General features: G+C 44.8%; 1 protein-coding gene across 2 annotated transcripts in view, besides 2 other annotated features; it reads right to left on the minus strand.

Moving 5' to 3' along the window:
• PKD1L1 (polycystin 1 like 1, transient receptor potential channel interacting) overlaps positions 1–25435 on the minus strand; it is a 186293-nt gene that overhangs the window by 114834 nt on the left and 46024 nt on the right. For both annotated transcript variants that reach the window (XM_017011798.3, NM_138295.5), the window contains 8 exons: positions 18630–18803; positions 16396–16515; positions 15710–15878; positions 14931–15170; positions 12932–13064; positions 8541–8747; positions 4431–4612; positions 1095–1316 (listed from right to left, as the gene is read on the minus strand). In XM_017011798.3, the coding sequence (XP_016867287.1) occupies positions 1095–1316; positions 4431–4612; positions 8541–8747; positions 12932–13064; positions 14931–15170; positions 15710–15878; positions 16396–16515; positions 18630–18803 (1447 nt within the window). The remainder of the gene's footprint in view (positions 1–1094; positions 1317–4430; positions 4613–8540; positions 8748–12931; positions 13065–14930; positions 15171–15709; positions 15879–16395; positions 16516–18629; positions 18804–25435) is intronic.
• Positions 7254–7775: an enhancer, noted in NCBI's record as "NANOG-H3K4me1 hESC enhancer chr7:47936298-47936819 (GRCh37/hg19 assembly coordinates)". NCBI's record gives its function as "activates a minimal SCP1, AML or CMV promoter by ChIP-STARR-seq in naive H9 embryonic stem cells {active_cell/tissue: H9 hESC(naive)}" and the evidence as "EXISTENCE:reporter gene assay evidence [ECO:0000049][PMID:30033119]".
• Positions 7776–8296: an enhancer, noted in NCBI's record as "H3K4me1 hESC enhancer chr7:47936820-47937340 (GRCh37/hg19 assembly coordinates)". NCBI's record gives its function as "activates a minimal SCP1, AML or CMV promoter by ChIP-STARR-seq in naive H9 embryonic stem cells {active_cell/tissue: H9 hESC(naive)}" and the evidence as "EXISTENCE:reporter gene assay evidence [ECO:0000049][PMID:30033119]".

Consider the following 25435-nt stretch of genomic DNA (forward strand, 5'->3'; position numbering starts at 1 on the left):
AGCCTCAAATAACAGTCAGTAGTCGGGGCCTGTGGGGCTCCCTGGGCAGTGCTGTATGACCTTGGGGCTCACCATGGCATGGCCCACTCTTATCCACTCAGCCTTATTTTCATGGCTCTAATCTTGAAACCCTGAATTCCAGTCCAGGGAATGACCTTCAAAGCAGTCTTTCTGATCTCTGAGGACAGCAGATTTGCTTCCTCCTCCAGGAAGCCTTCCCAAACCACCCAGCCCACAAACAGGACCATAGTAACTGCCCAGCCCCCTTGCCCCTACCATCCATGATGGAAGCAGTTCGATCTGCCCAGGGCCTTCCAGGTGACATATAGGGCTATGGGCAGAGGGTCAGTCCCAGCACTGCTTCCTGGGTGGGTGCCAGCTTGCAGCCCCGATGGGAGAGTGTCCAAAGCAGGTGGGCCTGGGCTCCTGCTCCATCCCGATGCTCACTTACATAATGACCCAACCCCCTTAGAGGAGGAGGCTGGGAAACAGCTGCAACTCACACCCTTCCTGCACTTGGCTCGGTCCTGGTATCCTGTGTTTGGTGTCCGGGGGCTGCACTACACCCACTGGCGCTGTTCTGGCCTCAGCGCTACAGGGGTTCTGGGTTTGGGGCACATCACTTCTTTGCCTCTGCATCTTTCATAGTCTCAGACCTCACAACTGGGCCCACACTGCTGTCCCCTCCATCCTGTGATGCTTGGAAGGCCTGGGCAATGGCCCTGAAACCCCTGGCTGGGAACTTGATGGCTTTGCCTCCTGGCTTCAGTCCCAAGCCCCAGGAGAGTCCCCGATCTTTCAGGCAGGTGCTGTGATGGGAGGGTTCCCGATGAGGTTCCACTTGGAACCCCCGGCTGTGCCAGCTTTAGCTAGTGTGCTTGGCTGTCAGATGCTGCCCAGACATCAGCCCGAGAGCGGGGACTGCTTCCCCAGCCGCTTTCTGAACAGTCTTCTCCTCCTCCTTTGCAGTGAGAATCCTGCATGGCCAAACTCCAAACTGCTTGCTGTGCACAGCAGATTCCTTTCACGGATGCTAGCACCAGGTGGGAACAAACACCGGTGAGCTGAGCTGTGCTGAATACAGGGTCAGGTACCTGAACGCCGAGTCAGGGTAGGGGGACAGGAACACCCGGGTCTCAGAAGAGTTCCGGCCACCACTGGAGACCCTCAGCATCACAAGGAACTGATCATAGCTGTCACTGAGCCATTGTGCCTCAAAGGAAACAGTGGGAGCCGCGGCATCCAGTTGGTGTGCAGTGGAGGAGTCGAAGCAGGGATGTGCTGGGGAGCCAGCGGTGGCGCATTCCCAGTGATACCTGTTGGAGAAGTCATCGGAGTGGCTGAGGGGAGCATCAGGCAGAGTCAGGGACTACCCTGTGTCACTGCACGGGTTTTCCCCAGGTGAGGGGGACCACAGGGGACACGTGCTGGGAAGAGATATTGCTTCCCACATTTTCTCCTGTAACTGAAGTGGGAGGTTGCAAAAGTGCAGCAGCACCACCACCTGGGGTGGGCTCAGGCCACCCCTCCCGACTCACTGAGGCCTGACTCCAGACAGCCTTGTTTCCAGCCCCACCAGGCTTCCTAACCCTTCTCTGCGCACAGCGACCTCCTCTGCTCACATGACTGCCACTTCCCAAGTCACACAGCTGTGCTGCCCTCAAGTATGTCCCAAACACTGCACCCCATCATCATGACAGCTCCATGTGACAGACAAGAATGCTATGTGAGCCCAGTTTTAGGAAGAAAATGTATTTGGGAGGCCTCAGAGTGTTTCCCTGTAGCACAGCTAGTGAGGGGTCTGTGAGATGGACTTCAGGCATCTCTCCTCCCAGTCTCACAGTCTTTCTGCAATATAACAATTGCCACACCCAACAAGATAAACATGGCTGCTCCGTCCAGGTCAAGCAGGAAGATGTCTTCCCCAACCTTGAGCCAGTCTTGCTCTAGCAGGGATGCACACTCAAACATATAGTTCCAGCAGGGAGGAAATGCTGCTATGGAAATGTTTGTGGCTAGGAAGGCCTGGCCCCATCCCGCAGCCATAAGCCCTTTTCAAAGGTGTCACCTAAATGTGAACTGATATTGATCTTTTAAAGAGCATTTCTCTGTCTGGTGTGCAGGCACCTCATTCTAGACCTTTCTGTTTCCAGAGCCTGCATAAAGAGGTACTGTGATGGCTCAGGAACTACCCTGCTCAGCAGGAGCACTGCCTCCAGCTCACAGGCTGTGCAGAGCAACTGCCCCTGGGGTTTAGCTGGAATATTCTATACTCCCAGGGAACAAATTCAGCTCATTTCAGCAGCCACACATGGAGCTCTTGTTTTTGGGCACTGTGCAGGTGCTAGGGCATGCGGATGTGAAGATGAGTAAGACACAGCCTCTGTCTCCTTAGGTTGGGTGCAGGGAAGTCTGCAGATGGCTAAGGGCTTTCCCAGAGCATGTGCATGAATCAAATTGGGGAGTCCAAGCAGCCTTTTGCCTCCTCTCAACTCAAGAAACAGCAAATTCCACACCTGGAATACAGCAAATATGTGTGATCACAGGGGTTGGGAAAACAACGCAACTCATCTATTGCTTTATAAATAAATATTCCCTGACTAGCTACTACATTCCAGGCATGGGGGATATATCAAATAAGAGCCCTGCCCTCCAGAGCAGTGACCATAGTAAGTGAGCAAAGGCTCGATGTCAAGGGTGACTACTGTGAAGAAAGATGCCATCAAATCAGGGTAGGATCTGTCATTTTGGAGTCTCAGTGGGGGCCCCACTGGGAAGGTGATATTTGAGCAATGAGTGAAGGCGGTGATGGCAGATGTTTGGTGAACTGAGTGATGAGCTGCAGAAGGAACCCTTGCTGTAAAGAGCTGAGAGAGATGCAAGCTGGGTAAGTCCAAGGAGGGGCAGGAAGGCCAAACGGGCTGCACAGTGAGCTGTGGAGGCAGGAAGGGACAGCTGAAGCTGCAATGGGTTGGGAGAGGTCACATCATCCTCACTGGCACTGTGAGGACGTTGGCTTTTACTCTTGAGTAAAAAGGGGGTGCTGGAGGGTCAAACTGTGAAGTAAAGTCTTCTGACTGTTTTAAAAGAATCTGTCTCCAAAAGGAGGGAGGTTGGGAGGTGGGTGAGGGATGAGAAATTACCTAATGGGTACAATGTACAGCATTCAGGGAATGGTTACATTAACAGTCCAGACTTTAACACCACTAATATATCCATGTAACAAAACTGCACTCATATCCCCTAAATCAAAAAGAATAAAAACCAATAATACTAGTAAAAGAACCTATCCCTGCCTTGGAGACAGGGCTGCAGGGGAGGATGGAGGTGTGGAGACTGGCCAGGAGATCTTACGGAGATGAGCCCAAGACCCTGGCAGCTCAAACCACAATGTACCGGGGGTAGGGGAGGTGGTGTGGAACTGATGTTTAAGGGAGGGCCAAAAAAAAAGAAAGGAAGAAAAAGAAAAAGTAAAAGATGCTGGTAAAGATTTTGGCCTGTGGCTGGGCCTGATGGCTCACGCCTGAAATCCCAGCACTTTGGGACGCCAAGGCAGGCAGATCACTTCAGGTCAGGAGTTTAAAACTAGCCTGGCCAACATGGTGAAACCCATCTCTACTAAAAATACAAAAAATAGCCAGGCATGGTGGCGCGCATCTGTAGTCTCAGCTACTCAGGAGGCTGAGGCAGAAGAATTGCTTGAATCCGGGAGGCGGAGTTTGCAGTGAGCTGAGATCGAGCCACTGCACTCCAGTCTGGGTGACAGAGTGAGACCCTATCTCAAAAAAAAAAAAAAAAAAAAAAAAAGAGAAAGAAGATTTTGGCCTGAGCAACTGGAAAGGTCCTTCCACGGGTACAGAAGGCAGGTGTGTGGCTGAGATGTCTCGAGGGTGTCCAGAGGGGGCGCTGTAGGGACGCCGGGACTCACAGCCCAGAGTCCGGAGAATGGTCTAAACAGAGAATTCCTGTCTGAGGCTGTTGCACATGGATCATGGATGGATCCACATCAGGACCCTGGCTGAGCCCACAGGCGGGAAGCGGTGTGGATGGAGAAGAGGACCAAGGGCTGAACTGGGGGCAGCCTCCAGCAACAAGAGACCCATCTACCTGGAGATGAGCAACCCGTGGAAACCAAGCCTTCCACACACCACGGCATCTCACTAACCAAGAATTTAACAATGGTGACACTCAAGCCTCATGTTCCAAAACAGATCACTCTTTAAACACCACCTTAAAAAGCGACTCACATTTTACTTCCACTCTTTTCCTCAATTCCCTTATATTTTGTTCCTAAATAAAGCAGTTAAACTTAACGAAAGTTGATGTGCTTAAAATTTAAAACTATTAATAGCCTCCAACGTTCCAGAGCCTGCATTTGCAGAATGCGCGGTCTGAGTAGCTGCGCAGCTCTGTGTGGGGGTGGTGCTCACCTGAGAGTCGCCCCAGGGTCGTCAGGGTCGAAGGACTGGGTCCCTCTGAGGACAATGGGGGATGAGGTGGTCCTGGAGAAGAATAGGTGTGTGCCCTCGGAGATCACACTGACAGGGGCCTGGGCTCGCACCTCCAGGCCCACACAGTAGTTGCTGTACACCACACTGCCTTCAATCTGAACCTGCAGGGGCAAGGAAGGACAGGGGATGTCATGCAGGGACAAGGCAGGGACTCACTGGAGAAACACACTAGTCTGAAAATTAGAAAGGAAGCCGACGAGTCTCAACGCATCCCTGGCTCCAACTAAAACAGTCTTGGTAGTCAAAATAACCACTCTACTGTACGACATGAGAGCTGTGACTGGAGTCCACGAGACCATGGACATCTTCCTATCCAAGCTTGTGTTAATGTACAAATTTGGGCATTTCCTAGCTTGTGAACACAATAGAGACTTTCCATGTGTGCACATTTTATAGTTTTCAAACCTCCTCCCTCCACAGTGAATTGTTCAGGCTCCTGGCTTTTGTGCAACTTCCTTCACCTATCTTAGAGCTGCTTCTTTCTAACCCCCAAACATATCATGGACTTTAGGAAATGTAAATGAAATTTAAGACAAATACTTTTAAACCCAGGAATAGCAGAACATGTTATAAATAAAACATTCATATTGTTCTTTTACAAGTTTGATGCGGCCAGGCGCGGTGGTTCATGCCTGTAATCCCAGCACTTTGGGAGGCTGAGGTGGGTGGACTGCTTGCACTCAGGAGTTTGAGACCAGCCTGGGCAACACGGTGAAACCTCATCTCTACTAAAAATACAAAAATTAGCTGAGCGTGGTGGCATGTGCCTGTAATCCCAGCTACATGGGAGGCAGAGGCACAAGAATCGCTTGAACCCAGTAGCCCAGAGGGGGAGGTTGCAGTGAGCTGAGATCACACCACTACACTCCAGCCTGGGCAACAGAGTGAGACCCTGTCAAAAAAAAAAAAAAACTGACGCAATTTGAAAAAATACAGTCTAATACTTGCTATTCTTTCACTGGGTCTCAGCCTTGATCACTCTAGATTTTCTTCAGATGCACACAGTTCCCTGCTGATCAGTCTCCTGAGTAGGACCAAAGACAACGGAACAGCTGTAGGATTAGAACTCTCATTTCCACCTTCAACCTCTGTTTGCTCAGCCTCTCCAGCTCCAAGGAGCTGCTGAGAATATTCCAAGTATATACAAAGGCTGGAGGAGGCACCAAGCAGGAAGCTGCTTGGGGAAGATGCAGGGCTGTTCAGGAGCAAAGGAAACCTGAGGCTCTGACTGTGAGGTCAGAGACAGCAGAAGTTACCTTATCTGTCAGAAGGTCTCCAAGACCTAGAGAAAGACACAGACCCCCTGTGAAGACACTGAAGACTACAGAAGTGGCTCCCAGCTCATAGCCAAACCTCCTTCGGAGCTCCCATTACCTGGCCTGTCCCATAGGCTGGACACATCTTCTATGGCTTGCTGGGTTTAATTTAAAAATTACGTAGTTTATATATTTAGAAAGCAGAGTTTTATTTTTTAAGAAAGGGATTATAATCTGTAAGCAGGAAGTGTAGTCTCTGGCTAAGAAATTGAAAGTAAGTATTTGGAGGAGGGAGGGAGGGGTAAGAGGAATTTCAGTTGAATGCATTATCACATATTCACAGGATATAGGAGTTATGGATATCTATGGAAGAGGATTGTGTTTTTGTGTAATAAGTAAACATATATATGTGCTTTATGTTTACTTTTGGGTGGAGACAATATTGCAATGTATTATAATTAGGTCTTTTATGTTAAAAGGTAAAGTAGGGACATGAAGGCACTTAAATGCGTAGTCAAACTGGGCAGAATTAGTTTACGGTTGGTGTTTTTTATTAGGAAAAATTTATAGAAATTAGTTTTTTGTTTAATTAAAGTCATAGTTAAGGCTTGAGGAATGGGGGGTTAATTAGTTGATGTTTGGTGGTTGTAGAGTTGTAATTGTTTTAATACTGTTTATTTTAAGGCTAGTGTTTGTTTAGTTGATAGAGAAAAGGGGAGAAAAATCCTGTGGCAATGAGAACAGCTTATTTTTTAATTGTAGGACTGTGTGATTTCACTCTTGCCTGGCCTTAGGTCTTGTTTATAATTTGGTATCTTATTGTCATAAAGAGTATGTCCTGGCCAGGCGTGATGGCTCACGCCTATAATCCCAGCACTTTGGGAGGCTGAGGCAGGCAAATTGCTTGAGCCCAGGAGTTCGAGAGCAGCCTGTGCAACAGGGTGAAACCCTGTCTCTACAAAAAATTAGCCAGGCATGGTGGTATGCACATGTAGTCCCAGCTACTCAGGAGGCTGAGGCAGAAGGATCACTTGAGCCCAGGAGGGAGAGGTTGCAGTGAGCCGAGATTGCAGCCACTGCACTCCAGCCTGGGCAACAGAGTGAGACCCTGTCTCAAAAAAAAAAAAAAAAAAAAAAAAAGGAGTCCGTTCTGTCAGTCTTATAATCACTATTTTAACATTAATGTTGGTCAGTTGTTGTGTCTAAACTGTGAAAGGGAGGGGGCGTAATGAGGCATATCTGACCTTGAGTCCCATTATGGCCAGGAACTCCATTTTTTAAGTATTTTCTGGGTCCCCTTGGCCAAGAGGGGATTTGTTTAGTTGTTTGGGGGGGACTTAGGATTTTATTTTTAGTTTACAGGCTCTATCTACCTCCCCTACTAGGTTGTTCACACAAGTGTGCAAAGACCTTATTTATCTCCAAATCCCTCCCCCCAGCACACAGCCAGGTACAAATAGTGCTGTTTTCATTAGGAAAATGAAGAGCAGCCTCACCCTCCTCCACTCGTTCAGTATTACAGATTTTCCTTTGCATTTCCCCTTGGCTTCTTACAATTAGCCACCCATCAGGTCAGATGCTCCCCACCACCCCGAGGTCCCCTGACATTGACCCTGCTCTGCTCTCTATTCCCCAGCTGCCCCCTGCTTCAGCCTCTAATGACTTCTCACCTTCACTAACACTCTCCCAACATCCCATCCTTCAGTCTGTTTCCTACTCGTTCCCAATCAACATTTCTAAAGAAGAGTATACAGCCTGCTGGGAAAGCTCTGCTTTTTCCTACAACCTGCATCTGAAGTAATGCTATGCTAAGCCTGGTCTGCAGCCTGTTGTCACTTGGCCCATCGTTACCTGCCTATTTCGCGATGAGATAAGTACAGACACTGAGAGGAAGCTTCTGGCAACTCCAGCATTTGCCATCGCTGTGACATCCCAGCACAGATTGGGAGGATTTGCTTCCTCAGGCAAGGTCAGGGCAGTTTGGGTGCCGAGGAGCTTTGTGGCAAGCCACACAAGGCACCAGATGGAACTGTGCTCAATAGGACTGCGTGCCCCACAGCTTAAAAGAACAAAGCTCCTTCGCTGCAGATATTCTGAGGGTCCCTGATCAGGTTCCCGCAGCCTGGCCTGCCCACTGTGCAATTTGTTCCCAGAATCTCCCACCAGGTTCTGCTCATTATCCCTGGTCTTCTTCTAGCCTTTGCCAAGCTGTTGCCCCTCCCAATCCCTTTCTATGTCTGTGGACAGATTCTCTTTTCAGCACCCTGTTTCTTGAAGCCTACTCTTTTAAAAATGACCTCTCCCTCTTTTAACTCGCATATTTTCACCACTTTTTCCAGCCAAAATGCACCAAGCACATGCTGAGAATCAAAGTGCCAGGCAGTCACCGTGAGTGCCTCTTGGATGCCCTGCCCTCTGACTGTCGTCTCCTTTCCTTTCTGGGTGATTGGCCCCTAAATGGCAGGGCCACACATTCTCCTGACATCCCGGCACCAGCACAGGGCTTATTCAAATTAGGTACACAGGAAGGTTTTGTTATACACATTGGAAGGAGCTTTTCATCAATTGCTTTGACTGCATTTGAACATAATTTGTTCTCTTTGGGGGAATTAAACATTTCTCTTAAAATCCAATGCAGATTTTTTTTTTTTTAAACAACCTCCCTTTTCCTGGATCGAACAGGTGTTGAATTCCAAATGCTGAGCTCTTGCTCCAGGGCGATGAGAAGCATGGGTTTCATTGGGCCAGTAGAGCAGTAAGTCAGCCAGCTGACCTTGGCAAGGGCAGTGTAGTTCCCATACTCCAAGGTGTGGCTCGGGAGGATGAGGGTCTGTCTGTGAGTGTCCACAGCAGCAGGGAGGGAGACAGGGAGCCCTTCAGAGTCCATCAAGTTCCAGGTGTAAGAAAGACCTTGGGAAATATCACAGAAGACTGCAGCTTCAAACGTCACTCCCAGCCTCACAGGCTGAGACCTCCATATCTAAGTATCAAGAAGAGAAGATGTCTCATTAAAATGTCCATCACATCTAATGTACTGGTAAATTACTAGAAACTTAGTCTTAACTGTAGATCTCCCATTATTTGTTTGCATAGTGACAGAATGGTATTCTTAGGTCTGGGCTTTAGACAACACCAGAATAAACACTACATCTATTTTATAGACAAAAATAAAAGGTTAAAAAAAAACCAACTAAAATAATAAGTAAATATTTATATACTCATGAGAAAAAACTTCCTATGCATAAAATTAATGGAAAAATAGCAAAGATATCTGATATTTGATTACATAAAAAATTTAAGCTTCCAAACGTCAAAAATATAAATGTTATGCTTCTGGGTTTTGGCACCTATGTGTATATATAAATTTTTTAAATCAATGAATATAATAAGAAAATCATTTGCAGTATACACAACAGATGTTTGCTTTCCCTATTTTTTTCTTCACTGAAATATTCTTAAGTCATTCTCAGAAATCATGACATTTAATCCCTAAATACTAAATATACATCTCTAAAAACTAAGGGAATTTTCCTACATCAACACAACACTACTATCTCACCTTAAAAATTAACAATAAGTTCTTAGTATAATTTAAACCTAGTTTATAATAAAATTTCCCTTATTGTCTCCAAAACATACCCTTGTGCAATTGTTTGATTTGAGATGCACAAAAGTTCTTTTGCTAAAAAAAAAAAAGGAGAGAGGAGAAAAAAATTTTCTTATCAACTAGAACTATGAGGTTTCCTAAACTATAGTTTGGTCAGGAAAATAAGAATAAATGCTTAATTCTTTCCCTTAATTACCAACATTCAGAGTAAGAAGCTGGGGCACTAGTTACTTCCAAAGGTGACCAATATGTTACTTGTGTCTGCCTGCTTGGTGGGAACAGCAGAAGCTTCTCTTTCTCTTTCAGCATAATTATTTTTAAAATATTAGCATTATTCATTCAATTGTAGATGTTACTTTTTAGATGCTCCAAGTAGCCCATCAGGGGCCTGGGGCACTCTCCTTGGCCTGGCTCTGGCAACCTTCTGGTATGACCCTGGTAGTCTTTTAAAGTGATGGGTTTGTTGCACTATTCTTTCTACTGTTATTTATGCTTTAAAATTTCCATAACAAAGAATTTTAAATGTTAATAGTAGCTGATACATATACAAAAAGCATATTTGCTCACTTTAATAAGCCAATGAGGATGAGGATATGGGGGGGAATATTAGTGTCTACCCATCCACACCCCTTACTCCTCCCAGCCACTCTGTCTTTCTGAAGCCCCTCCACACCCCCTACTTTGGGCTGGAGCCAGATGCCACCTCAAGCATGGAGGAGCAAGCCAGGCTAGGGGGCCTCAGGATAGAGTCTCTGCCTGGCCAGAGCGCCTCCACCCTGCAGATGCTGGGTGCAGGGTCTCCCCCAGAGGGATTTTTTTTTTCCTGAAGGTTCCCTAAAAATTGGAAAGGGAAGGCCAGGCACGGTGACGCAAGCCTGTAATCCCAGCACTTTGGGAGGCCAAGGTGGGCGGATCACGAGGTCAGGAGATCAAGACCATCCTGGCTAACACGGTGAAACCCTGTTTTTACTAAAAATACAAAAAATTAGCCAGGTGTGGTGGCGGACGCCTGTAGTCCCAGCTACTCTGGAGGCTGAGGCAGGAGAATGGTGTGAACCCGGGAGGCGGAGCTTGCAGTGAGCCCAGATTGCACCACTGCACTCCCTCCTAGGCAACAGAGCGAGACTCCATCCCAAAAAAAAAAAAAATCGGAAAGGGAAAAACCTGGAGGCAGCTGAGAAATGGGATTTTAAGAAATCTTGGTGCTCATTATAAATGAAAGTTTACTTTTGACATTCTTTAGGTGACTTTAGTTATAATTAAAATTACTTTCCAATTACTTTTTATTGTTTCTATTCTGAATATGATATCATTCTAAGATTTGTCACAAAACTGCCCAGATTTATATGGGTTACAGCAAATTTTAATACTAGGATGCCAATTTTTAGCTCATTCATGATAATAAACATTAAAAAATATGAAATGCCTAGTGAGAGTGAGAGTTGGTCCCTCAGAGCGGACACATGTGAGCTGCTACAAAAACATCTCTAGGCTTGTCAAGATTCTGGGAAAGGCATTGTGTTCTTCAGTTCTATAACTTGTAGTAATTATTCCTGTGAAAAGGCCATACACTTGCAGAACAATGTACAGACAGTGTAATTGCCAAGTTATTTGTAGTGATAGAAAACCGGAAACTTGGCCAGGCATGGTGGCTCATCGCACATTGGGAGGCCAAGGTGGGCAGATCACCTGAGGTCAGGAGTTCAAGACCAGCCTGACCAACATGGTGAAACCCCATCTCTACTAAAAATACAAAATTAGCTGGGTGTGGTGGTGAGCGCCTGTAATCCCAGCTACTTGGGAGGCTGAGGCAGAAGAATAGCTTGAACCCAGGGGGTGGAGACTGCAGTGAGCCGAGATCATGCCATTGCACTTCAGCCTGGGCAACAAGAGTGAAACTCAGTCTCAAAAATAAATAAATAAATAAATAAAAAGAAAACTGGCAACAACAGTTGTTCAATCAGAGGACATTATATAGTGATGTATAATCTTTATGTATGATTTAACAGTAAGACATCATTAAAATTATGTAATCAAAAGGCTGCTTAATAACAAAAGAAAATGCTCACACTGCAACCCAGGTTTGTGACAAACACACATACCACATATAAAAAGCCTTAGAAAAATACTGAAAATAAATAATTAGACAAAAGTGGCTATCACCTACTGCCTGGATTTGAGATGATTTCATTTTTTTCTTTATACTTTTAGAAAACACGTAAAATAAAGAAAAAATGACCGGGCAGGGTCCTTCAGGTCCATAATCCCAGAACTCTGGGAGGCCAAGGCAGGTGGATCAATTGAGGCCAGGAGTTAAAGACCAGCTAGCCTGGCCAATATGGCAAAACCCCATTTCTACTAAAAAAATTAGCTACGCATGGTGGTGCACACCTGTAATCCCTGCTACTTGGGAGGCTGAGGCAGGAGAATCGCTTAAAGCCAGGAGGCAGAGGTTATAGTGAGCCAAGATCATGCCACTGCACTCCAGCCTGGGCAACAGAGTCTCAAAAAAAAAAAAAAAAAAAAAGAAAAGAAAAAATGAAATTATCAATCTTATTTTCTGTGTTTTACAGATAAGAAAATAAAAATAACAATGTTTTACAGATAAAAAACTCAAGAAAACCACTCTGTCCCATGTCCTAACAGCAGAGTCAGGACGGGAGCCAGAGTCCTCCTGCCTAGGGTCTGTGCTTTTTCCTGCTGTGCCTTTTGCTTTAGTCCCTTTGCTATTTGGGTCCAAATCTCACACCCAGAGAACGCGTTCCCCCAGCACGCAGACCTGCCCAACAGCGTGGGTGCTCGCTGGTCTAAAGGTGGGCAGGGGTATTGCCTGTGTGGGGGCCGGGACCCTTTCCGGATTGCCCCGGGCACTTGGTCTCTGCATGCTGATCTCCACCAGCACCCTCTGCGGGCTGACCTCTTGGGGTCAGATGCCACAGAAAGCAGTTTAGCAAATGCAGCTTAGTCACGGATTTTAATTCCCATGTGTCATTTGAGCACCTCTGCCCTGAAAAGGAAAATTTGCTCTGAATCACAGGCCTCAAAGGAATGAAAGAAATAAAAACCAACCCTATTTTTTCTAACCCAGAATAGGTGTTCAACAGATAACCGATCATGTCCTTTCATTTTGGTGTTACATATATTCAAATGTTTCATTCTCCTGAAAATGCTACAGTTCTTAGCATAATCCAAAAAAAGAAAGGAAAGGAAAGGAAAAGAAAAGAAAAGAAAAGAAAAAAAAGAAAAGAAAAGAGCTCCTTAAAGTGAGCTGTGCTGAATGCCAGAGTAATGCAGGCGAATAAAGAACTTATTCACACACCAGACCCCAGAAATGACACTGTCTCCTCCTGTCCAGGCTGGGGTAGCCCTCCCTCCCCTGAGGACCCAGGTCACCCGCTCTGAAGCCCTTATAGGCACTCCTTTGTGTAAATTGCAGTAGGATAAACTGGACAAAGCCTCGCTTCATGCCCCAAACTCTCACCACTCCAAACAGTGGTCCCAACTCAGAGGGAGGCTGAAAAGAGGCTGGTGGAGGATTTCCCAGACTCCGAGCCTACCTGGACTTTCCCAGGCCCCATGTTCTTCACCAGGGGTGGCTGGCAGGGCTCGCACACGATGAAAAGTTGCTGTCTTAGAGTGGAGGCACTGACATTATTGAAGGCAAGGACCTCCACTGTAAATTCTCCTTCCCTGGGACGGTGGAAAGCACAGAAATGAACAAATTTATGTTGATGAACGTCAGGCTTTCATTCACTCTTCATACCCACTCATATCTGCAGAATTATAGTATTTGACAGCAAGTCATCCCATGAATAAGAACAGAAGAGTCAAGGGTCACAAGACTGATTTCCACAGAGGTCTTTCATCATTTAATCAACAGACTGGCTCCCCAGCTAGCCTGGGCCAGGCCAAGTACCAAACTCCCAGACCGATGTCACATGCTATATTCAAACAATACATCTATGTGAGGGGCATGTTGCTTCCTTCTTTGGGCAACCCTCCCCACAGCCATGACCTGGCCCCCTTTTGATAACAGAACAGATCTATATATTTTCTCTGTGTGATGGGTACCCCAACCCATAACTGGGGGGTCTCCGGGGATGGTCTTCCTGTTCTATTTCCTGCTCCATGGATCAGTTTTCCTGACCAATTTCTTAGAGTCCTACAAACTCAGGAAGGACAGGATAGATCCATAGCCTGTCTCCGGGTAAGGGGAGCATGTCACAGCTGTGGAGAGATTCAGGACAGTTGGAGGTGAGAGCTGGGTAGCTCCTGACCCAGCAGGTAGTGCTTTACTAAGGAAATAAGTGGTTATTTTGCAAATGTTGCAACATGGATAACTACTTAAGACTTCTGAATTTGAAAGAGAAAAATATTCCCATCAGAAGACCACAAATTTGAGTTTGCAAGGACCAGAATATCACTTGCCATCCTGGAGCTCCAGCAAGAAAGGTAGGGCCTACTGATAAGAATGAAGACTAGATGGTTTTCTCAGGTTGTCAGAGCGCCCAGGGCACACTCTAGAGATGACAGTGGAGGCACCGAATAAACCATGTCACTTCCACAGGGCACAAAAGGGCTTCTGGAGCTACCGAGTATATCGCCAGGTACCTAGGCCACCATGTGCTCAATTGAGCATGCACCAATCTACAAGCCACTACTGCTCAATTCTTTCCTTATGTGAAAATCTATTTCTGATGAAAAAGTCCTGAATCCATAGTTAGTGATGGGGCCATTCAGTCCCCACCAAAGCGTGGAGAGGCTGCAGTGTGGGTTCTCATGGAAATCTTGCATTGGAGGAAGTTTGCAATCTTTCCCTGATGCCACTGCCTACACGAACCTCATTTTCTAGATACTTCTGCACCCTTTGACATTTCCCTACAGCAGCATAAAGTTTTGATGCCAGCCTGAGGCTCAGCCTTGACCATGTGTGTCTCCCTACTGAAAGGATTAGATCCACTTGGGTCCTAGGACTCACCCTAGAGGCTCGGCTGGGAATGAGTGATCCAGCCAGTCTGCACCTTATCATATCTCCACGATGCTTTGTCCCAGGTACACAGTGGACACTCAGTAAATGCAGAGTTAAAGGACAGAGTTCATGCTCTTCCATATGACATCAAGGCCCTTCACAATCTGCCAACCTACACTCATCTCACCCTTCTATATACGTCTTGCCAGTCACTCCAAACATCTCCTGTTGGCACCTCACTTAGCACCTTTGCCCAGGACCTTGTCACTGTTTGGGAGCCTCTCTCCCATTTCCCTTTGTCAAGCTCCTACTCAAGATATCACTTTCAGTAAGCCATCCCCACCACATCACAGGCCTCCTTTGCAGCCACAGCCCCTGTACTGAAAGCATCTCTTTCCTCTTTGTCTTTCCCCTGGACTAGGAGCTCCTTGAGAAGCATGGTCAGGTCTTATTTGTCTCTGTGTAATCATCTGTCACCTACGTTGACTGACAGGCAGGTCTCTATGTGGAACCCAAGGGCTGATGCCTTAAGACTCTGATTCCCGCGCTGTCTGTAGAGAGCACTCCGCCGCCTTGCAGTGGCTCACCTACTGTAGACATGGCTGCTGGAGCTGCTCCCCAGGCTGACGGTGCCATCCCCAAAGTCCCACAGGTAGGCAACATCTGTGCCGAAGTTGATCCAGCACTCAAAGGCCACACTGGCATTTACCAGAGCTGAGGAGGGGGACGTGAGCCGATTGGCCACAATTTTCTTCTGCACCCTGATGACATGGGGCTCAGAGACCACACTGCTCATCCTGTTGGAAGCCTTAACCATCACACGATACCTGCAGGATGGGGAAAGGAGGGCAGGGAAGGCAGATGGCAAGACAAGAACAGGGTCAGGTCTAGAGAAACCGTCTGCTATACTTTAAGAGGAAGGCGGGGGAGGGGGAGGCAGCATTTAATTTGTAAGAACTACAAAAGTATCTAGTGATTTTCATCTTATTGAGGAGAAGGGGGTTGATATTTTTGACTACCCCCCTCTTCATTATTTAATTCATTTCTCAAAGCAGTAGGGGTAAGCATCATTGCCCTTTCTTAGATGAGGAATTTCTTAGGTCACATGGGTGGCCGAGATAGAATTCGAACCTAGGACTGTCTGCTTCAAAGCCCTACACCGTTTCCCTTAGTTCAAGCTGAAGAGAAATGAACGAAATCTTCCCTTAAATCTTATGTTGAGTTTGCTTCACAGAAGGACCTAGTGGCCCATTATAATACAAATGCAACAGCCATAAAATGCCTTCGGTAGCAGCATGGTGATCTTCAGACTGAGTATAGGCTGCAGTACAAACAGCTACTCAGCAGGACTGCTACTTTTACTGACCATTGGGGGATGCTGAGTCTTTTTTTAATGCTTCTTGAAGTTGTCCTCACTGGTGGATCCTCTCCAAAATACCACTCAAATTCCAGGGGTATTGTTTCCTTGGTAACAGCTGTAAATGTAATGTCTGTGTCTGTGGCAAACACAGTTCCATTTGTGTAGACAGAGACGGCTGTGGCAAAAGAAAGGAAGGTATGTCTATGTCAACATAGGAGGGCTGGAATCTCCAGAGAAACTAGTACCTCTACTTTCCCACTTGGTCATGGGCTTGAGTGATGGTGAGGAAGCTCTGATATGCATGCAGATTGGCAGCAAGGATGCAGCTGTGGGCACGCGGTAGGCAGTGCTGGCCCTGGTTCAAAGGCCCCAAAGTGCTTGCACAGGAGGTGCTCCTAAGGCCATAGGGCCAACTCCCTTTGAGATTCTGCTAGAAAGGGTGTGGCACATGGAGCTGGCAGATAACAGTCCCGATAACCCACCTTCCCATTCCTTCAATTGGGAGCCTTAATGCCTGTGGTTTCAGAAAATTCCCAGAACAAATGGCAGATGAACAAAGAACCTGTTCAATGACAAATGGGGCTCTCCAGCAGAGCCGATAACAAAACCTGCTGCTGCCTACGGCTTTCCTAATCTCAGCTGACTGCGCGAGGGAGGTTTTTGTTAAATCTGGAATTAAAACAAAGACATACATTGCATCTTATACCAGACAGTCATGCTGTGCCAAGCCTGGCTGTCACCCACTTGAGTCTGAGAAATAAAGGACACGTTATATGAAGGAATAGATGGAAAGTGATGTATAACCACAGTGCCTAAAATGAGAAAAAAAGGAGATAAGAGAAAAAGTCTTAAAATTAATTCACTTTTATCATGCAACACACAGTCAGTATTTTTCATTTTTAACTTTCCCCCTTTGAATCTCAATAAATTTCAAAATTCTAAGCATGTGCTCTGAAATCAGACATACCTGGGAAACATAAACTTAATCACAGAATTTCTGTCATTAAATTTTTCTTTGTATATTTTCTCTAAATGAGAACTCCCTGCATGGTATTAAATATGCTAATTCCTTTGAAATATGTTAATTACTTTGATAGATGGCCTTGTTTTTAAAGTATTTCTCAATATGTACACTAAGTAGTCTTCACTTCACAGGAGTTCTTAAATAGGGGTCTAATAAGCCTTGTGCTTTTAAGTCCTATAAGATGTAATGTAAGATTGTGCATATATGTATATATACATGTACACACACCATACACATACCACACATATAGCATATACACACATACATACCATATACACACCATACACAGCATATGCACTATACACATATGCACATGTACACACATATCACACATACCCTCCTATGACATACCACACATGCATGTACATATGTATGTACATACATATGGAGGTGGATACCAAACACTGAATCAGATTCTGAAAGAGTACTGTGATGTCTAAGAAGATTTAGAGCAACTCATTTATCATAAAAGGGTATTAAGAAAGGAGGGTTATTTATTATTACTACTGTTCTTCTGCATAATTTTCTCTTTATAAAGAGAAAATACTTGTTTATAACAGAGATAAAGCAGAATGGGTATTCTGTCCTTCATCAATGCATCAGAATTTTTGAAAAATAAATATCATATGACTAAAAATAGATATATGATAAATAAATATCACATGGTCTCATTAAGCATGCCTGAAAATTAATTCTGAGCACAATCTGATAATCAAAAGTGTTAAAAAAAAAAGATATAGTTTACAGATTTGCACAAGAATACCCTATTATCAATCTGTAGGGCTGGATGCAAACTTGGACCTTCCTATTCTAAATCCTGGCATGGAACCATCGGAAATTTACAAGAATTGTGCCCTTGCACTGGCTAGACGTGCTGCTTATTTATTCAGGTTTAGATAAGACAAGTCAATATGAATGACCAACCGGCTAGTTAGGGTAGGCAAACAGGTTAAAAAAATCCTTCCATATGTATGTCATAACTTCTTGGATGGAGAGTTTCTCACTAGTCTGATTATAAACAGGTACAGCCACTGTGTGGAACAGCTGGAAAGAATTCTTACATGGATGAGTTCACTGAGACTCATCCCTTCATTGGATCCTCCTTTCTCCTGTTTCTGGGAAATGTGACCCCATCATCCCACCCATGTAGGCTGGGCACTTTGGGAGTGCCTCTGGCTGGCTCCCATTTGCTTTGTTGCAAAGTGTAGGGACTCTTTTTTCTACGGTAAGTGGCTGGAGTTCCCCATTCCCACCCCCAATGGCCTCTGAGCTTCCGGTCCCTCCCTCTACAAAACTGACATGAAGCAAATACCTCCCTTACAGGTAGCTGTGCGGATAAAGTGGGGTGACACGAGTGAGGCGTTAGCAGTGGATAAAGTGGAATGGATATTTTGTCCTTCATCAATGCATCAGTGTGCACCTGGCACACTCAGTGAGCACCGGATGCTTTCTCAATTCTGTTTTAGCTCAAGGCCATGCTGTCTGACCAAAATGTGCCTCCAGCCCGTGCTGCAAGGCTCATTATGTATGCCAGCTCCCACCTCAGATGTGCCCTGTCCCCACAGTTAGATAAAGTTCCTATCTCCTAAAATCTCCCAGCCCCTTAGCCATATCCTTCCTAAGCATTTTTAATGTCGTGTCTCATCTTGCTCCTATGCATATCTTAATATTTTCACTAAGATAATAGATTCCTTGAGATGAAGACTTTGTATGACTTTATCTTCATGTTCCCTCAGAACACAGTATTCTGCAAGACATATTTTCTGAATTAGGGAAGAATGAATGAAGGATGTTGTATCAAATTTAGAACTGCTATAACTTGAACAGTATAAGTAAAGCGGAGATACCCTGCTTCATTTATAGTTGAAGTGTGCTTGCTCAGACTCCAGACATACGTCTTACTTTTCTGATTCACTTGGGAGTCAGCAAAGACAAGCACTTCATCTTCATGGACACTGCTGGAGTTCATGAACGCAGACACGGCCTCATGGCCAATCTCCACATAATAAGGCCCAAGCTCCACTTCGGTTCCATGAAACTCGTTATAAATAACAGCCTTGAGCATATAGACTCCTTCTGGAAAAATAAGAATGAACGGACACTTGATGAATTTTTAATAACAAGCATAACAGTTAACATTTGTAGAATGGTCAAAATGGGGTGATTAATATGGGAACTGATACAGGAGAGGTGATCTTTCTTGTCTCTTGTAGCAGCAGGGCCATTTCATGGGCATGTGACCCATACAGTTGCACAGAGCCCCTCACGCAATGGAGCTATGTGAGTGATTTAATGCTCTGCTATCTTGAAATTCTTCATAATTATTTTTAGCAAGGAGTCCTGCATTTTCATTTTCCACTGGGCCTTGTGAATTACGTTGCCAATCCTCTGCAGTAGGAAATATTCATAAGGAAGAAAATAGATATTAGTTATCCCACAGCTAGACAAATAATACTTAAACAGCCAAATGGGAATATATCAAATAACTATGATGATGGATGACAAAAATGGTCCCAAACCCTTATCCGTTTTTCACACACTTACAATACAACTATAATATGACTCTGTGGCTCCTCTCATTAAGTGGAGAAGACTATTGCTTCACCCCTCGAATCAGTGCTAATCATATGGCCAGTGGATTTTCAAAGTGCTTGCACACTGGGGCTTGCCCTCTCTTTCTTGTCTTGGGACCTCTGTCATTGTCATTGGGACCATGTCATTTCCATGTGAATAGCCTGGCCTAGTCTGCTGAAGGATGAGATACACATGACTGAGTCTCCCCATGGCCCCAGCCAAGGGTCAGTCTCCTCCAGGAGACTGGCTGCAGATCTGTGAGTGAGCCCCTCTAAGACCAGCTCAGACCTGAAGAACTCCCAGCAGAACTGGGAGCTGAATAAAAGGTTATGTTTTAAGGCACTAAGTTTAGGGTGGCTTGTTAACACAGCAATAGACTGTCAATACAATTCCACTGAACTGGAAAGACATTAGCAATTCTCTAACCTCAACTCCCTACACAATATTCTTAAACTGTACATTTGATTGTGTCATTCCCCAGCTTGATAATGTTAAGTGATTCCTCATGTGTCACAGGAGCAAATCTGTACCTGAGCCCTTCCCTCTCAGCTGAGCTGGTTCCCATCACTCATCCTTGACTCCACCAGGCCCACAACTGATGCATCAGCCACACAAAACCAGGCTCCACTGCTCAGACGGCCGGTCTCCATCACAAATATGCCCCTGTGCAGGCTTATCTCAGTTTACAACATCCTTCTTTGTGCCTCCATCTGGCCAACTCGCACCTACCATGAGCCTCTTTGAATGACCCAGGCAGAATCACTGGCTTCACCTGGCATCTGACTACAGAACGTGGGCCAGGTTTCCCTCTCAGACTCACTACATTCTCTGTCTTTCTTGTCCTCAAACCTCATCACAGAACACTTAGTACATACATAATAAATGTTTATCAAAGGACCAATCAAGTTTACAGAATGGAATACTGAAGCTCAAAAGGTTAAACAATGTGCTATAGGCCTAGAGTATGCAATGCTTTCTTAGGAATTAAGATAGTCATTTCTCTCTTCACTTGCTGCATCCAAATTATATGGAATAATATGTGGATCTACTAGCAGCATAATAAGAAGAAAAAAGGGAATGATCTTAAAGAGTAAAAGTCTATCTCTGGGGAAGAATAGTGAACATGGTAGCATGCAGGAGGATTTGGGAATACTGTGATAAGCAGAGGCCAGAGAGAAGGGCATCGTACTCTAAGCACAACTCAGATTAACATGTAGAAGAAATAGGTACACTTTCCCAAATTGTATTCTCATCTTGGAAGCTATATCTCAAATGTTGAGACAACATTCATAACTCTATTGCAATTTTCTTACAATACTGCTCCTCTTAACTGTGTCCAAAATAATTTTGCACAGGAATTTTAATGACAAGTAGAAAGTGAAATAGATAGCCATGCAGGTCATCCCATGCACAGGAACCAGAACTTAACTAAGAGTGTGCTACGTGTTGTTTCATGTCAAAAGGCAGATTTCACGACCACAAGTTAGAAAAGGCAGTTTATATAATAGTTAAGAATACACTCCACGGACTCAGAGGAATTTGGCATTGGAAATCTTTGTGACCAAATCTTAGGCATATCTTACTTTCTTTTTTTTTTTTTTTTTGAGACAGAGTCTTGCTCTGTCGCCCAGGCTAAAGTGCAGTGGCATGATCTTGGCTTACTGCAAGCTCTGCCTCCCAGGTTCACGCCATTCTCCTGCCTCAGCCTCCTGAGTAGCTGGGACTACAGGTGCCCGCCACCATGCCTGGCTAATTTTGTTTTTGTATTTTTAGTAGAGACAGGGTTTCACCGTGTTAGCCAGGATGGTCTCGATCTCCCAACCTCATGATCCACTCTCCTTGGCCTCCCAAAGTGGTGGGATTACAGGCGTGAGCCAACGCGCCCGGCCAGGCATATCTTACTTTCAAGTTGACTTTTTTTTTTTTTAAGATAGAGTCTCACTCTGTCGCCCAGGCTAGAGTGCAGTGGCATGATCTCAGCTCACTGCAACCTCTCCTCCTGGATTCAAGCGATTCTCCTGCCTCACCCTCCCAAGTAGCTCGGATTACAGGTGTCCGCCACCACGCCCAGCTGATTTTGTGTGTGTGTGTGTGTGTGTGTGTGTGTGTGTGTATTTTTAGTAGAGACAGGATTTCACCATGTTGGCCAAGCTGGTCTCGAACTCCTGACCTCAGGTGATCCACCTCAGCCTCCCAAAGTGCTGGGATTACAGGCATGAACCACTGCACCTAGCCTCAAGTTGACTTTAGACTTAACCCCTGATAAAAGATGTAATACTGATATAGTTCGGATGTTTACCTCTCCCTAATCTAATGTGTCGAATTGTAATACCCAAAGTTGGAGGTAGAGCTTGGCGGGAGGTGACTGGATGATGGGAGTGGATTCCTCATGAATGGTTTAGTACCATCCTTTGGTGGTGTCCTTGCGATAGTGAGTGACTTCTCTTGAAATCTGGCTATTTAAAAGTGTGTGGCATCTCACTCTCTCTCATTTCTGCTTTTACTGTGTGCTGTGCCTGCTGCCCTGTAGCCTTCTACCATGATTGTAAACTTCCTGAAGCCTCCCCAGAAGCTAAGCAAATGTCGGCACCCGTGCTTACTGTAAAACCTGCAGAACCGTGAGCCAATTAAGCTTCTTTTCTTTATAAGTTACCTAGTTTGAAGTATTTCTTTATAGCAATTGGAGAATGGCCTAATACAAATACCAATTCCTTACTTTATTCATAAAACAACAAAAGAAACCAATGAATATGTATCAAAGTTGCAGATGCTTAAAATTATTATAATAGAGCAAGTCCTGATGTGAAATAGAGATATACTTAGCCTTCTACTTAATCTTCTAGGAGTTAATCCAAAAACAAAAAGGAAAACAGTGAATAAAAATAAAAACTTTTTCTCTCTTTGTTTAGTGAAACTAGGAGGTAGCTAGCATGTTCAGAATACAAAATAGACGCAAAAACTGCTAAAAGCGGCAAATATCAAGCATGCATGAGCAGGAACCGTATTGAAGGAAGAAAACAGAAAACGTCCTAAAGTGAGAACTCAGTTGCCAAAGGGCTCAGTGGCTGTGAATATCATCAACACGCATACATGTGTGTACGCAACACACACACACACACTCCACCAGCAGTTAGTTCAGAAAAAAATGCAACTCTTTAAATTATGAGTAATGCTGTGAAGAAAAAAAAAAAAAGAAAGGAAGGAAGAAAGGAAGGAAGGCAGGAAAGAAGAAGGGAGGGAAGGATAAAGGGAGAAAAGGAGGGAGAAAAGACCATTCAGCATGTACAAGATACTATAAGAGTCAAGAGGGAAAATTCAGGAAATACTCATAATAGATTAAGATAATTTATCAGAAAAACACTGTCCACAAGAACAGGACTGAACAACTTGAGGAATCGTTATCTTCTGAGATGGAAGACCAGAGAGCATCTGGTCTTGGAAGGAAACAAAGTCAACATTTTAGAGTATAATGGAGAATGGAAAGTGTAGAACACAAAAGAAGGGATGCAGAGGAAAATATGAGGAAAGCGGATCAGATGAAAAAGGAAAAACAAAAAAGATTTGAAAAGACAAAAGAGAACTAATAGATGTATGCCAGTCTCCCAAAAAGAAAGCTGACATATTGGAATAGAAACAATGTAAAGATCTAATTCAAGAAATCTTTCCTGAAACAAAGGACACATTGAAAAGGTACACCATGTGCTGGAGAAAGGTGACCCAGAGTGGCCAGCACTTAGACACGTGCTGGCAAAGCTGCTGGAGTTGCAAATAAAGAAATAACTACCGGCTGGGCACGGTGGCTCAGACCTGTGATCCTAGCACTTTGGGAGGCTGAGGCGGGTGGATCGCTTGAGGTCAGGAGTTTGAGCCTGGCCTGGCCTTCATGGTGAAATGCCATCTCTACTAAAAATACAAAAATCAGCCAGGCGTGGTGGTGTATGCCTGTAATCCTAGCTACCTGGGAGGCTGAGGCATGAGAATCACTTGAACCCAGGAGATGGAGGTTGCAGTGAGCCGAGATCATGCCACTGTACTCCAGCCTGGGCAACAGAGTGAGACTGTGTCTCAAAAAAAAAAAAAAAAAAAAAAAGAAAAGAAATAATTCTCATGACAATCACAGAAAAACATTAATCAATGACGGGGAAAAAAGAAGGCTGACTTTGGAATCACCACAAGGTAAGAAAGACAGAATGGAGAATTTCAGGGAGGCTTCTTCAGACAGAGTGTCAGGGCCACCAGCTGAATTTCTGATTCAGTAGGTCTGCAGTGGGCCTGAGAGTCTGTATTCTAAGCCAGTCTCAGGTGGTCATGATGCTGCTGGGCCAAACTTGGAGAACCATGGTTACAGGAGAGAACAGAATGGAAAGACAACCAGATTCCCCAGGAAAAGAACATGTGTCCAAGGAGTCCAGAGCCAGCACACTGTCGTTCCAACATAATGGCAGCAACAGTTTTGAATATGGGAACTTAGAGGAAGCTTATTGCATGAATTTTCCTAAAAAAAATCTACTAGAGGACAAACTTCAGACAACCAAACAGGAACACCATGCCAAAAAAAAGCTGAGTGAGGACCGAATATATTAGCTCTAGAACCGGAACTAAGACTAATGTGGGAAAGCAGGTTGATATGATTTGGATCTGTGCCCCCACCAAATCTCATGTCGAATTGCATTCCCCAGTATTGAAGGTTGGGCCTTCAGCACTGGCGGTGAGGAGGTGGGTGGTGATTGGATGATGGTGGCAGATTTCTCATGAATGGTTTAGTGTCACCCCCAATCCCTGCCACTTGGTACTGTCCTCATGATAGTGAGTTCTCATGAGATCTGGTCTTTTAAAAGTGTGTGGCACCTCCCCCCCTCTTGCTCCTACTCCGGCTATGTAACGTGTGTGTTCCCTGTTCGCTTTCTGCCATGATTGTAAGTTTCCTGAGGCTTCCCCGGAAGCTGAGCAGATGCCCACATCAATGTTTCCTATACAGTCTGCAGAACTGTGAGCCAATTAAATCTCTTTTCTTTATAAATTATCCAGTGTCAGGTATTTCTTTATAGCAATGCAAGAACAAACTAATACATAAGTAGCAGAAAAAAAGGTAAACATTTCATGTTCTGACAATGTAGAAATCATACAGTAAACGAAATTTGGGCTGGGGAAGAGAAGAGGTAGGAGCTGTGGAATAATGCAGATTGCCTCATTAGTAATTGCTGGAAATCAAAAGACATGAAGATTTAACAAAGCAATTAAGAAAGGTGAAAGCATATATGAGAAAAAAATGAGTAAAATTGGTGATAAAGAAGAGAGAAGGGAAGAGGAAGATGGGAAATATTCTAATTTCATCATTGCTCATAGTAGCTGATGAATGGATACGCTAAAGAAACAGAGGGATAAGGACATTTTATAAATAAAAGAGGTCAACTAAAACAAGGCACAAACCTTTCAAGTATCAGAAGGCTAACTCAGATGAACATACAAAAGAAAGAAAAGACTATTTAATGAAATGTATTTTAAAATGCACACAGAGCCCATAATGTAAAATATGACAAACATCTGTCATTTCAATAAAGACAAAAATCACTAAACTCACATATCTCAAATAAGAATGATCAGAATGATTCACACAGCAAAGCCAAGTCCATTGTAGAGAAACATCTAGGACAGTGATTCCAAAAGGTGGCAAATGAAATAATCTCCAAAATTGTGAGAGGCTGTGTGATGAGGTGGGAGTGCCCATGCTGCAGGGGTCTTCATAGGCAAGGCAGGGCAGAAGACACAAAGGAAGAGGCTTGGGCCACCTGGGTTGTTCAAGGAATTGGGATTTCCAGTGAAAAGGGTAAAACAGGGTTATGTTTTCCTACTCAGGACAGAGGGCCAACCCTGTGGGAGGATCACCCAGAATCCTGATCCTCAACCTCATCTTACCCAATGTTTGCCTCTCTCTCTCCCTCCCTCTCCATCTGTTTTCCTTTCTCTCCCCTTCCTCCCTCTCTTTCTCTCTCTCTTTTCTCCCCCCCAACATCCCCTCTCCCTCATCAGCCTTTCCCACTGGTGGGTGGGGTGTGGTTATGAGGACCACGGAAAAGGGTGAGCAAAGGGGCTCAGCAGATAGCAGATACCTGGAGCCAGCCCACACTCACCAT

Source organism: Homo sapiens, chromosome 7 (assembly GCF_000001405.40).
Source record: "Homo sapiens chromosome 7, GRCh38.p14 Primary Assembly".
In the NCBI taxonomy this organism is placed as follows: domain Eukaryota; kingdom Metazoa; phylum Chordata; class Mammalia; order Primates; family Hominidae; genus Homo; species Homo sapiens.